Source organism: Homo sapiens, chromosome 1 (genome assembly GCF_000001405.40).
Source record: "Homo sapiens chromosome 1, GRCh38.p14 Primary Assembly".
Taxonomy (NCBI): domain Eukaryota; kingdom Metazoa; phylum Chordata; class Mammalia; order Primates; family Hominidae; genus Homo; species Homo sapiens.
Genome location: NC_000001.11, coordinates 209587600 through 209602740, shown reverse-complemented (window position 1 = coordinate 209602740; position 15141 = coordinate 209587600). Strand labels below are relative to the sequence as shown.

The 15141-nt window shown below is 44.9% G+C and overlaps 1 protein-coding gene across 2 annotated transcripts in view; it reads right to left on the bottom strand.

The window, feature by feature from the left end:
- The window catches only part of CAMK1G (calcium/calmodulin dependent protein kinase IG), a 30226-nt gene that overhangs the window by 11199 nt on the left and 3886 nt on the right, over positions 1-15141 (bottom strand). For both annotated transcript variants that reach the window (XM_017001866.3, NM_020439.3), the window contains exons 2-3: positions 7666-7786; positions 2630-2758 (exon numbers count right to left, since the gene is read on the bottom strand). In XM_017001866.3, coding sequence (XP_016857355.1) covers positions 2630-2758; positions 7666-7757 — 221 coding nt within the window. In that variant the 5' untranslated portion in view covers positions 7758-7786. The remainder of the gene's footprint in view (positions 1-2629; positions 2759-7665; positions 7787-15141) is intronic.

The following is a 15141-nucleotide window of genomic DNA, read 5'->3' as shown; positions in this document are numbered from 1 at the left end:
TGGGACCCAAGTCTAAACATGAAGTTCATTTATGTCTCATGTGTACCTTATACACATAGCTGGTAGGTAATTTTACATAATATTTAAAAAATAATTTTGTGCATGAAATAAAGCTTTGAATACATTTTGACTGTGACCTGTCACATGAGGTCAGCTGTGGAATTTTCTATTTGTGGCATCCTGTCAATGCTAAAAATGTTTCTGATTTTGGAGCATTTTGGATTTTAGATTAGGAATGCTCAACCTGTATACAATGGGAGGGATTCAGGTGAGCTGAGCCTCCTCATGGATAACCACGGAGGAAGTGTTGAAAAATTAGTGTTCCAAGATATTGCGAGAAGCAAGGTAGATGCTTATTTTTAGGGTTAGTTCTGTGGGATGACTTAGATGGTGATTCTCAACCAGGGACTATTTTGCCTCTCAGGGAACATTTGGCAATATCTTGAGACATGTTTGATTGTCACGACTAGGGCAGGGGAAGGTGCTGCTGGCATCTAGTGGGTAGAGGCGGAAATGCTGCTAAACATCCAACACTGCACAGTACAGCCCCCAGCACCACAAATAATTATCTGTTTCAAAATGTCGACAGCATCATGGTGGAGAAGTCCAGCCCTACATTACCCTTGTTTGGGGTTACTCAGAGACTGAGTCAAGCAGAATAATCATATTAGCAGAGGGGCTCGGCTTGCCAGGCAGCAATGCTGTGCCTGCCTGTAAAGGAGGAAATTCTCTAGGAAGTTTACTCCTGGCTGTGCAGCACAGGGGTTAAGGACTTAGGCTCAGAGTCAGTCAGGCCTGGGTTCAGATCTAGCTCAGGCAATTAGATAACTTCAGCTGGCTTATTCCAGTTTTCAAATCTTTACTTTCCTTGTCTGAAAAGTATGTGTCTCTTATAGAATTGTATCAGGATAAAAGGAGATAATGCATAATGCTTAATACAGTGTCTGGGTAATAGTAAACACATAATCAATAGTAGCTATCTTCTTTACGATATTTTAGAAAATATAGACCTGTGTCAGTTGTCTCTTGATGAATTCAACTATACTCAGAAGCTGGCAATGCTAACATTAATTTATCAATTATTCACTCAATGAACAAACATTTATTGAGCACAAATACTGTTGATACAAGGCAATAATAAGAAAAATGACATGGTCCTTGCTCTCAATTAGTTGAGAGTCTTTCTTTGCCCTAATATCCCTGGATCCTAGACCTGTGTCTCCAGCATGTTATGAAATGCCTTCATGTTGAGATAGGTGGATACTCATATTCAGTATGTTCCAACCAATTTCTTTCTATTTCATCCAAGCCTACATATCCTCTTTGTTCTCCACCCCTAGCAATTATATTGTTGTCCACTTGATTGCTCAATCTCAGGGTCTCTTTTTATGCTTTTGTCCTGTATACTTTCACTAGTCAACCCCAAACCCAATCACTTCTCTCTTTGAAACATCTCTAGTATCTAGTCCTTTTAGGCACATATGATTCTGCCACTACCTTTGCTTGTATTCTCAACCCATGCCTAAATTATTGTGAAAGTCTTATAATTAGCCTCCTGTCCTCTAGGCTGGCACCCTCCAATCCATCCTCCACTGTGCCTGAGAGGGATAGCTCCAACATGTTAATCAGACAATGTGACTCCTCACTTAAAATCCTTTGATGACTTCTTTTTGCCCACAGAATAAAGCCAACATTCCTTATCATGGCATCTAAGATCCTTTGTAATCAGGTCTCATTTCATGATTTTAGTTTCATCACTTGTCTTTTAATACTATATACTCTAAATTCAGGGATTTCCAATACTCACTCTTCCCTAAAAGCCCTTGCACTTTCATGGTTCTACATTAAAGTTTATGCTAGTCTTGGCCTGAATTCCCTTTCTGCATTGCCTTTCTTGCCCCCACAAAGTTTGACTCATCTATCAAGGTCCATCTTCTTTGAAAGTGGTCCAATAACTCATACTCATAAAAACATATGCATAGGCAAAATGAATCTTTATCTCCTCCAAACTCTGCCTTCTGCTAGTGTGACTCACATCCGATTTTGTTGGATTTTCTTATAGGCACCTCTGTATCCAGCATAGGCTCCTGAGGGTAAGGAATTTTGTCTGCCTCATCCTTGTGGTTCTGATCCTGTGTTCATGTGCCTAATACACTTTTGGTACACCATAAGGGTTTCACAAGGGTCTGTGGTAAGAGTCTTGCTGTAAACATATGATGATTTGTAGTGTTGCCTTCATCAAGATGGTTGGGGTGCTGAACCTCCATTTGCTTTGTTATAAATTGAAGCTAATTTCCAAATCTTATGCTGCCTCCTTAATTATTAATTGTTCCTGATGTTGGCCCTCAATTGATTTTTGTTCCTTTGAGCTAATTACTCTCCAGCCTGTGTGCACAAACCAGTTCTGCCACCAGTGGATTTGCTCATCAATTTGTTGCCAAAAAAAAAAAAATCAGCTAGGACAGCTGTCCGACTAAACTTAGCTAATTGACTGAACTGACCCATCAACTCAATCAAAGTGAGCAATGCCTTTGGGTGCAGAAATCCAGTCCTAGTCCTTTTTGAAGGTAATTTGTGAAGAAAATGTTGTGATCCCATAGTGATCCAGTCAACACTAAGACCCACTCACTTTTTCAACACAGCAATCTCATTCTCCAGGCTGCTGTCCCGGAAGGCAGGTGACTTCTTGATGCACTTCAGAGCAAAGAGCTTCCCAGTCAGTCTTTGCTTCACCAGGAAAACTTCTGAGAAAGCTCCTCTGAGGAGAAGACACCAAAAGATAAAACTTAGTAGGGGGCAGACATCTTACACTTCCAGATGTAAGACCTCAGAAAGGACGTAACAGAGTCTATATAGTCCTCTGACCACAAAGGCATATACTGAATTTAAATCTGGAAGAAACATCAGGAAAGCACAAAATTTAAAAAAGGGAAGGGGGGAACCTGTATTCTTCCAAAATGCCAATGTCATAAAAAAGCTAGGGAGAGATAACACCCAAGTGAAATATCAGACCCTAGACTGGAACCTGTACTGGAGGGGAAAAATGCTATAAAACACATAATAGGGTCAATTGATAAAACTGGAGTAGGGAAGACAGACTAGGTACACTTAATGTGTCCATGTTCAATTGACTGAAGTTGAGAACTGTCCTATGGTCACGTAAGGGAATACCCCATCCCTAGAAATATACACAAATGTCCTTGATAGGTAAAGGTTCATGATGTCTGTCCACAACTAACGCTTGGGAGATTAGGAAAGAATCATCTTTCTACATCTATCTCTACAGATCTACAGAGAACATAGCAATGAGAAGGCAGATGGGAGAAATTGTGAACAAGAGGTGAATCTGGGCAGGGGGCATTTGGAAATTCTTTCTACCATTCTTATTCTTATTTTATTTTATTATTTTTTTAGAGATGGGGCTTCACTATGTTGCTGATCTGGTTAGGCTTTGTGTCCCCACTCAAATCTCATCTTGAATTATAATCCCCATAATCCTCATAATCCCCATGTGTCAAGGGAGAGACCAGGTAGAGGTGATTGGCTCATGGGAGCAGTTTCCCTCATGATGTTCTCAGGATAGTGAGTGAGTTCTCACGGGATCTGATGGTTTTATAAGGGGCTCTTCCCCCTTTGCTTGGCACTTCTTCCTGCCGCCTTGTGAAGAAGGTGCCTTACTTCCCCTTCACCTTCTGCCATGATTGTCAGTTTCCTGGGGCCACCTCAGCCATGCTGAACTGTGAGTTAATTAAACCTCTTTCCTTTATAAATTGCCCAGTCTCAAGCTGTTCTTCATAGCAGTATAAAAATAGACTAACCCAGTTGCCCAAACTGGTCTTGAACTCCTGGGATCAAGCAGCTCTTCTCCTTTGGCTTTCCAAAGCGTTGGGATTACAGGTATGAGCCACCAAGCCTGGCGTTATTCTTATTTTTGAAACGTTTTTCTAAGTTTGAAATTATTTCCAACTAAAAAGTTAAACAATCAAACTTAGAGGCAAAGTGAAAGGGTAGATGAGGGAAGGACTGATAATTACTCTTCATTGTCATGTGGGCGCTGCTGAGTTATGTTGATGGCAGTTGTATCTGACATGCTAATGTGCTTTCTAATTTGAAGACCATATTGGAAGAAAAAGATGCCACCACAGATTCAGGGGCTAGGCAGGTGTTATTTCCTGGTTCTATAGTTTGGGAATGACCCCTAGAGACAGAGACTCCACTGCAGCTGTGGAGAGATTTCTTCACTTGGCATGCCCACTAAAAAGAAGCCACTACAGAGTCAATTCATGCCACTTTCAATGTGACTCAGGATGGCACACTGGAGTGGCAGCTGGAGGTAGCAGATGGGACAGAGTGCAGATACAGTGAGAACAAAAAGACTCGTCTCTCAATTTTAGGTGGTGGTGATCACTCTGTACCAGTTATCAGAGGCCAGGGTGCTGAGCAACCTCTCATTCATTCAGTAGGATCTGCAAAGACAAAAGAGAGAACCTAGCAGTCTCTGAGGCAGGCTCTGAAGACAGAGCAGGTGGAACCAATGGGAATACAGGGCAGGATTCCAAATTACAGGCCTCTTGGTTTGAAGGGGGTCCTCTGGAGATCAGGCTATCAGACCAGCAGTTAAGCTAGGTACAGATGCTGAAGCCTGATTGTTCACGTTAGAATCTCAGCTTTTGGGATAAAAAGTCACTTAACTCCCATATTCCCAGTTTCCTCATCTGAAATGTGGGAGTATCAATAGTATCTGATTCACAAGGTTGTTTAGAAGATTAAATGACTTGATATATGTAAAAAGCTTAAAAGTGTTTCTGACATCTATTAAGACCATAAGTGTTAGATACTATTATTATCATCACTATTATTTGAATACCATTATGAAGAACACCCAGTAGTACAAGAGGAGAGAGAATCTAAGTAAGGAAACAGCTGAGCCATCCTTGACCCTGCCATCTGGATATGCTAGAATGAAAGCCCAATAGGAGTCAAGCTTCTATAAGGACTTTAAAAATCTGCATTAGAAATTACTTGGTGTTTCCTGTGTCTGAGTTTCCTGTTTTCCCAGCTGCACTTGGAACTGAGTTAATCAAAGCCGCCCGAGCTTGCTCTATTCATCCATTCACTTACTCATCCCTTCAACCAAGATTTATTGAACACCTACTGAGTATTAGACACTGGAAATTAAAAGGTGAGTGTTTCCATTCTTAAGAAACCTGTAGAATAGTGAGGAACAGGGACAAGTAAGCAATTAGCATTTGATTTGAAAAATGCTATCAGGCATTCAATGAATGTTTATTGAACTGATGGAACCTCTCTGTGTCAGGCACTAAGATTAGTATTGGTCTAGCTTGGAATTCAATGTGAAAGACAGATACATACACAACACATAAGAATGACATATTAAGAGACCACAGAAAATGGACACTTAAGACAGGGCCCCTGCTATTATTGGGCAGGTTGTGCAGTGCAACAACTTCAGCAGGTGCCATTCACCTTGAAGCCATCATACATGTTCATATGATAATTATTATATTTCCTGCCCGAGCAGACAACAGGCTAGATAAAAGAGCACCTTTTTCATAATTTGTACACTTGTCCACTCTCCACCATGCCCCACTGTGGTAACTCTGTGGGGTCTGCAGCCTGGGAATACTGGTCTTCATCCTGAGCACCACTGAGATGTCTTCTCTTTCGCTCAGCTCTAACTTCTGCAACAGCTGTGACATGCCTCCTGTCTTGTCCTCCTGCTCCCTTCAAATCACTGCTGAGCTAGATACATTAGAACACCAGAAGCACTTAAAATATAGATTCCTGGCTGCTGCATCCTATCTCCCAAAATTCCAGTTTAGTGGGTCTGAGACCAGGGATCTATTTTTCAAAAATCACCCAGGCTAAAAGGAATTGTTGTTCACTTTCTTGAGTGTGACAATGATATTGTAGATATATGTGAAAATGCCTTTATTTTAGGAGATGTAAACAGAAGATTCAGAGGTGACATGTCATCATGTTTGCAACTTATTTACAAATAGTTCAGTGCTCAGTACGTGTGTGTGTGTGTGTGTGTGTGTGTGTGTGTGTGTGTGTGGTGTGTGTGTGATGTAAAATACATACTCTACAGTGAAATGTTAACAACGTTGAATTTAGATGGTGGGTATACTGACGTTCATTTTATCATTATTTCACCTTTTCCTTATGTTTCAACATTTTCACAGTTAAAAGTTGGAGGCATAAACTCTCCAGATGACTCCGATGTTCTCCCAGGTTTAGGTGCTGTGTGGTAGACTTCACTGAGCTCTAAGAGGGAAGGTGTGTCTGTCTTTTGAGTCCTACAGCACAAGTCTAGCAGATGGTAAATTCTTGTCAACCTGGGCTCCCTTCTCTCCTCTCCTCTGGATTTTTGGGACACTTAGCAAATCATTTCTGACTTACTCATGAGGCTTGTCTCTTTCTCCTGCCAAAACCCCCTCTCTGGTCACTCCCATCTTGGTAAAGGCCTTTGATGGAAGGCCAATGCTCTCATGACCAGCACCCCGCTGGGATCCTCCTGCACTTGCACAGTCTGACAACCTGCCTGTGCCAGGAGGGCCCAGAAGTGTCTTCTCTGTCTACGGCACGAGTGTGGGCAGCCGTCATTGCCCGAGGTCACTGCCTTCTAGTCAGTGCAAAGTGAAGTGACATTGGCGACAGAGAAAGCTTACCCGGATGGACAGCCCGCTGGCTGCTCTTCACTGCCCAGGCCCAATTAGCCTAGACTAATTAGCTGACCAGCTGGGGTTCTGAGGGGTTTGGGGGCCAGTGGCCTGGAGCTGCTGCCAGCCTGCGTCAGAGTCTGCAGCCTCCCAGGGGAGAGGCAGGACTAAGTGGGGAGTCAGTTCCAGACAAACTGTCTCTGATCTGCCAGCCATGTAATCATCTTCAAGGTGCAGGTTCAGACACCCTGCAGGCTGGCAGAGGTATGGACTAGAGCACAGCTGAAACACTTGGATATGGAGGAGGGAGGATGGTGGTGCAGGGGGCTGATTCAGGTGTGTGTGACCCACGAGCTCCCTGGGCCTCAAAAGTCCCTTCTGTTCCAGTTAGAGCAGAAGAAGAGGTTGTTCACTGCTGGAGAAATGAAGATGCTGGGGGAGGAGACTGGGAAAGTTCTAGTGTCACTGGACCTCCAGAAGTGCTCTCCAACTCCCCTCTCCTGACAGAGGCAAGAACCCACAAACCGGCACAGATCTGGAAGGAGGAGAGGGTCATTGCAGGTGGGTCAGAAGGAGGCAAACCCTGGGGGAAAGGGACTGGTATTCCCTGAGAGCTCCAATTTTGTTTTGTTTTGTTTTGAGACAGTCTCGCTCTGTCACCAGGCTGGAATACAGTAGCGCAATCTCGGTTCACTGCAACCTCCGCCTCCTGGGTTCAAGCAATTCTCCTGCCTCAGCCTCCCGTGTAGCTTGGACTACATCCAATGTATTAAATCATCTTTGGTATTACCCAAAGTACCTGCCACCCACTCCACCCACCATCCTCCAGGCCACAAAACTCTCCCTAAGTCCCTTAAATAAATCGAAATGAAGTCACAGCAGCCTCAGTCCAGTTCATCAATTGCTGCCAGCAGAGAACAACTCTTCTAACCTCCCACTGCAGGCAGCCCAGCCCACCCGACCTCACAGCCCCAGGACTTACGATCCCAGCACTTCCATAAAAATGAAGGTTTTCCGGATGTTGGTGGTCTGTTTCTTCCAGGAACTGCAGTCATCTTCTTCCTTTCGACCCATTGCCTCCAGAGTTGAAGCTTCTGAGGATGCTTTATTGCAGGGAGTGGGAGAAGGAGGAGAAAAAAGGTCTGGTCAGCTGCTTTCTCAAACAAGATTAAAAACAGGCTGCAATACTGACATCTTTCTGTAATTATCAGAAGGAAGGATTAGGAGCAAACCTGGATAACTGGAAAAAGTGAAACTATCTCCACACTTGCTTTCAAAAATTACAAGGACAAATTCATGGAATGCCTACTACATGTGCACTATGCTTGCTGCATGCTCACATCAGGGCAATAGTAAGTACGTGTGTAGATAACCTGGGAATATCCACCTTGAGGGGATCTGAGCTCAGCTCAGGCATGTCCTGTGTTTTCCAAATGATAGTCACAATGTTTACTCAGACTACAGAGTCAGCCAGGCTTCCTCTCTAATGTCACAACTCTGCCACCTCCCTCAATTTTTCTCACTAGTACCTCTCTCCCACCTGTTATGGGTTAAATGAATGAGTATTGTGCTGTTTTTGTAACTCCTACAACATTTAGCACAGTGCTGGGCAAATAGTTATTCACGAAAATCTAAATTGAATCATTTCCTAAATTTATATCAGAGTTCTGGAGTTACCATATTTATTCAACAGTTAACCAATATGTATTTAGCACCTACCGTGTGCAAGGTGCCGATGGGTACTGATAACAACACAGATGCTGGCCCTGCCTTCATGGGGCTGCCAGCCTGAAGGAGACGGGCAATGGGCAAGTAAAGTCATACGTGTACAGTTACAAAGTGTGGGGAAAATTATGAAAGACAAAAACCTGGGTTTGTCATAGAGATAAACAGGGAGGGTCTTCTTTAGATAAAGTCCAGGGAAGGCCTCTTGAGCAGGTCATATTTAAGCTGAGACCCAAAGTTTGGGAAGGAGCCAACCAAGCAAAGAGCATGTGAAGGAGCTTCTGTGCAAAGGAAATAAAACACCAAAGCTGGAAGGGAGGAAATAGCATAGTGTGCTCCAGAGCCTGAAGGGGCAGTGTGGCTGGTGCAGAGTGAGCTCCGTATGGTGGGGGGTGGTGAGTGGGTAGGAAGAGGCAGGCAGGGGCGGACAATAAAGGGCTTTGTAGACTCTGTTTAAGACATTGGATTTTCTTCTAGGTGAGATGGGAAGACATGAAGGATTTTTAGCAGGGGAGTTATTACACCATTGATGTTTTAAAGAGTTCACTCTGGCTGATCTGTGAAGGGAGAGAGATGTGAAGAGAGAGATGATGGTGGCTCGGGCCAGATGGGAGTGAAGGAGAGAATGATGAACCTGGGATGTATTCTGGGAGTCCAGTTATCTACAGTATTAGGCGATGTGTCATATGGTGGGGCAGACGGAGTCTGAGAGGACTCCCATGTTTCTGGCAGGAGCATCTGGGGTTGGTTGGGGGGTGCCCTGACTGAGCTCATGAATACTAGAGAGAAACATGTTTTTGGGGTGGGGTTAAATGGTTGGAGGGAATCTCTGTTCCTTTGGATATTCCACTCTGTCTACCCCCTCCAACAGCTAATGGCAGGGTACCAGGTGTCCAGGAGTGATGAGTGAGACACCATTTCTGCCAGCACCCTCTCCCTCATACTCCTTGAACCTGATGGAGAAATAGGAAAATATGCCTAATAGCTGCCCCTCTTGGGCAATAACCTTCCTTCCCCACTCGAGAAAAACTACTTGTAGACTCTATGGGGTCTTGTATTAATAATAGCCTTTGAACAAAAAGAAAGTTTGTTCCTCTACAATTCAGCATTAAGTGAAGAGCATAGTTTTGGAGGCCAACCTGAGTTCAAATCCTACCTTTGCTAGTTACCAGTTAAATGGCCTTGCCTAAGGCAAGTTACTAACCTCTTTGAATCTATTTCCTTATCTGTAAAGTGGGGACAAAACCCTTTAAGATATGGTAAAGGTTAAATGAAATGGTGCACATACAGACATTGATACACATGATAAACAGTTGTTTCTTTTTTATTTTTATTTTTTTTTCTGTTCTGCTACAATCTTAAACAGTTGTAACAGAGATAATATTCTGGAGACATTTGTTGATGTATTTCATTCCTGATAATCCACATCTGGAGGACTCGTGGTAAAATAGGTTTCATGGAATAGAGGGAACCTCTTCTGCCATTAAAACACAACTATGAGACTTAGACCCCTGGGAATAAGAAGAATATGATACAAGCGAGGCTCTTGGCAGAGGGGAAGAGGAGGTGGAAAGATGGATACTTTTGGTCCAAGTAGATCCTGGAAAGGGGATGGGGAGACAGATGGTGTAGTTTTCCAAAGCACAGATCTTTGCTTTCGCTCTCTTGGAGTAGAGCATCTGGTCAGGAATTGGGAGACAGGTGACATGGATGGGGTGGCTTACCAGGACCCTGCTGGTGGGAGGCTTTAAGCCTAGGAGGAGCGCTGCCTGCAACCACATCTAACAGGGCAGTGAGGAATCATGGGGAGGCCTCGAGGGAGGAGGTGAGTTGAGATAGTGCCTCATGCTGGGCAGAGACTCCAAAACCTCCCCAGGGCCGGCTCATGTCAGCTCATGAGAGTCAGCTGTGCACCTCTCTGGTGTTAATGTTGGCAGCTAGAAAGTGACCACAGTAGGAGTACTGGAGTTTTTTTTTTTTTTTTTTTTGAGACAGAGTCTTGCTCTATTACCCAGGCTAGAGTGCAGTGGTGTGATCATTCCTTACTGCAGCCTCAACCTCCTGGGCTTGAAGTAATCCCACCTCAGCCACCCTAGTAGTTGGGTCTACAGGCATGCATCAACACGCCTGCCAAATATTAATTTTTTTTCCAAAGACAGGGTCTTACTCTGTTGCCCAGGCTGGTCTCGAACTCCTGGGCTCAAGTGACCCTCCCATCTTCGCCCCCCAATGTGCTGGGATTACAGGTATAAGCCATCAATCCCAGCCTAATAGGAATATTTACACCATGGACAGTGGCAACAGCTACAATCAGGGCTTCTGCCTGACTCCACCTCCCCCTTGCCCCAAGACCTGTCATTAAACATTTACCAGCTCATTGTGGCTCATGGCCCTATGAGGGGATGTAGAGCAGGTCACGGCCAGCTGGCTGGGGTTGGTGAGAAGAGACGGTGATGACCAGGGCTTTTCAGGTAAGCAAACAGCTGGGATCAGGGCCTTTAGTAGAGTATGTCAGTATGATCCCTGTGAACCAGTGGGACCAGTCATACTTCAGAGGTCACTAGTTAGCTTCTGATGAGATCCAGAGGACTGTGGAATCCAGGGTCCCTGATAAGTCTAAGAAGTCTGAGGCCCCCTTCTCCCATATGACAACAAGGTTTAGTAAATACCTTACAACATAAAATGCCACTTTGAAGTAGAGCAGGAAGAGGAAAGGCCATCTCAAGGCTATGTTTTCCTGAAAGGCATAAGGTCAGCTAAACGAGACTCTTGAAACCCAAAGGGAGATTTATACGCTACAATGGACAAATTCAAACTTAAAGTTCCCCATTCCCCTTTTTGCTGCCTGATGGGATGGGAGTTCATGAGAAAGATTTATAAGAAATAGGAAGCTGCATTTTTTTGGTGTACATTTTAATAATGTGTCAACTTGCAACCTGGCTATATAATAATTGGTGGCTATTTATTATTAAAAAATGCATGTGAGAAACTCCTTCATGATTGACCTAGTTGAATATACATCTGGTAGCTTGTGTTTGGGTCTTCTGGCCCATTTGCTGATCTGCTCCTCTTGGCAGGGTGGCAGCCCAGAGGGACCACAGCAGTTCAGGATGCAGGCACTGGCCAGAGGAGGTCTCACTGGCAGTGGTGGGCTGACACTTGACTTCGAGGGCACGGTACACAAGGTGGAGACAAATGGACCCTGACTGGTGGAGATCTCTCTGAGGAAGATAGAATATAAGAGTCGGGGGATATCTTTAGCCAGATGCCCTTCTGTAGATCCTGAGTCCCAAATCTAGCAGCTTCCACTTATCAGGGTGCTTGGCATCTAGAATGCATGAACTTTCACTCGCTTTACAGGCTGCAAAAAGAAAAATGGGGTACTTTAAATTTGAGATTGTCCATTATTGCATGTTAATCTTATCAGGTTTAAAGAGCCTCATTTAGCTGACCCAGTCTCCAGGGGACATCAAAAATACTTCTTGCTGTGCGGATACACTGCTGCTGGTAAGTCTTGAATGTAGGGGATGAGGGCAAAGGTTTGAACATTTAACAAAGCAAAATCAGCCGCCTATGTGCCTCCCCCATCCTTGCTCTCTCCCCTCTCCACAGAACAACAGGGCTGTGGATGCTGCTTTTCCAGCCAATGAAGAGCCGCCTTCCAGCTCTGGGACCAAGAGCCAGGCGTCCATCACTCCCTCTTCTGGAGCTTCCATGGAATGACGGCCTGTTCTCCAGGAGGCTGCACCACCTCATTAGCAGATCTGTACTCACTGTTCCTTCTTTCCCTTCTCTCTTAAATAGCTTTAAAAACATAGTATTCTTAGCCGAAGCTAGGCTATGAGAAAACATCTTTCCCGCCCACTCCTCCTCCCATACACTGAATCCTAACCATTTAGTTCCATCTTCAGTGCAATGTGGAAAACTCAAAGGCCCAGATCTGAAACCCCCATAGCTTTGGCTTTCCCTTCCCACCCCTCTGTAACCAGAGTGATCGCCTCAAGACTCCCATGCCCTGTGTGGTGGAGGTCTGAACAGTGGGCTTTGAAAGGGGTGCCCATGTTCCTTCCATGGCTGCATCCTGCTTCTTTCTGCTAAAGTCCTCCCCCTCCTCTCTTGACTTCTGTAATCTAGGCCTTTTCAGAGGAAAAGAAAACAAATTCTAAGGAGCTTGAAGCTCCAATATTGCTCTCATTTGTTTCCAAAGTACTCCCCGCCTCTCACTCTATTTCTGGCAACAATTTCCATTGGGTTTCAAAGCTCAGGAGCAGCCGCCACAGATTTCTCTGAGATTTAGGGCTGATTTTTCACATCGATAGCTCAGGAGACTTGGAGGATGTCGGCTTTGTGGCTGGTTCAGGCGCCTGGCACCTCAGCACAGCAAGATTCTCAAGAATATTCTGCAAAAATGGCTCCTAGCAAAGAAAATTACCTTATTCATGGAACTATCTTTGAGTCGTGGAGGTAATACTCCTTCATTCAACATTCATTTATTGAGTACTTCCTGTGTACAATTTGGGCTATAAATAGACATTTCTATGATAGGAGTCTGGCCTTAAAAGTGCTTACAATCAGGTTATGAAGACCAAACACAGATATATAAATAAGGAGCTAAGAATGCAGGCCAGTCTGCTTAAAGGACTGGGACCATGTATTACTCATCTTTGAAATCCTAGAACCTACTACTGTTCCTGGCACTCACTAAAGGTCCAGCCCATGGTTGCTAAATGAGTGAATGAGAGAAAAGCTTGGGGGTGGGTTGATTGGGGAGCGCATTGTGGAGGAGTTAGACTTAAGATGAGTATAGAAGGTGGGTGGATGTATTCTTTATATTGCTTTAGAGAGGAGCCTATAGCAAGAAGACCTGAGCCCTGGGAAGGGACCGCAGCAGGGCCTCCCTCTCTATAGTCCTTGCTGTGAGGCTCTGCCCATGGCACAGCAGCAGGAGAGGGTGGAATGGCCATAGAAGGCCAAATCTGCTTGGCTTCTTTCTTGTCATCATAATTTCAGGGACACTAGTGCCTGGGATGGGATCCGTGTCTGGTTCTTGGTCAGAAGAACTTCCCTGCAACACTAGACAAGGCTCTTCCTGACCATTCTACCTAGAGTCCGTCTACCCACACCCAGAGTCACTCTCTCTTAGGTGAGCCAGTCCTTTCTTCTGTAATAAGTATGACAATCTCAAAGCACCCTGTTTACTTGTTTGAGGTTGATCTCCTCTATAGGAAGTAACTCCACACAGACAAAGACCTTGGCTATCTTGTTGCCTCCCTTGGGGCTAGTGCAGTACCTGCCTCCTAGCTTCGGCTCAATTGTATTTTTTGGATGAACTTCCTGGCCTCTTGGGGGAAAACTCTGCAGCTGTGGAGGAGGCTACAGAGGGGAAAGTTCTTCCTAAAGGGCAGGCAGTACAGCCTTGGGGTGGACGCTGCCTCTGAGTGCAGCCCTTTCCATGCTCCCAGTGGCAGGCTGTGTGATGCTTGCTTATGAGAAGCTGGTGAGAGATGCTTGGGCCATGAGCCCAGGAGGCAGATGCCCCTTCCATGGAGCTTCTCTGTCCTTCCTCCTTTTCCAGCTTCATTTAGTAAAGGGAGCACCACTAGCCCGAGATGGAACTCTCAGGCAGATAAGCTTTGTCTGCAGTGGCCTCCTCACTGTGGTCATATACCCTAAAACTGCCAGGTCACCTCATGACCCCACACTGGCCGGATTCTCTCTCTGCACTCTCATGTCTGCCCCACTCTCCATGTGGCCTACCTACCCAAAGTTTTCTATTTGAGTTGCAGCCATTTAGGGACCTGCCCTGAGGTGCTTATTAAACGTATCAGCTGGGCTAATAGCTTAAAACTGTTACGCTCCTAATTAGGTGATCCAGAGTCTTAGGAGCATCACGTTATAATTCAAAGGCTTTCCATCCAATCCAATCCAATCCAATCCAATCCAATCCAATCCAATCCAATCCAATCCAATCCAATCCATTCCGCTCCACTCTAATCCAATCCACTCCAATCCATTACAATGTGTGTACAGTGTAGGAACAATCATAGTGTTCCTAAACTGGGCATGGACAAACCAGAGGATATGGGGACAGGGAAGGAGAGCATCTTTGAGTAGCACCTCTGCAATCTTAAGCTCACAGATAATGGTTCTCAATTCTACCCATGGGAAGAGCCACCCTCCTTTTGCTGGTGCTGTCACTAGGGGCTTCTGAGCAAGGAGGCATGAATCACTCTGGGGCATAGTGAGCAGGCTCAGAGCCTTCTGGATCATGCCTGGCTCTTTTACTGACCTTAGAGGAATCAGTCTACCCTAAGACTGCTTTATAGTCTCTGCTTCCGGGATTTTCCATTCTTTGGGAGCATGACTCAGAAAAGCCTATGGGCCTTGGGAGGGAGGTTATCAGTTGGATCATCTCTAATAAGAATGTGCTCTCTGCCTCCAGGCTGGGGCACACCGAATCATGGAAATCTATCAGCGCTTGGTTACAAAAGGGTAAAAGGCAAAAGTTGGGAAGTTTTCTTGCTGGGTCACACAATTTTCTAGACTCTGGTCCATATTGGACTTTATATCATCCACTGGGTTAAAAGAATACCAGAAAGAACCCAGACTTGTTCCAGTCTTGGTTTGATATCCCGTAGCTGTGCAGCCCCAGGCAGATCACCATACATCCCTGAGTTTCCATCCTCCTCTCTGGTGAACAGAGGAGATTGGACTAGATTAAAGTTCCCTGAAG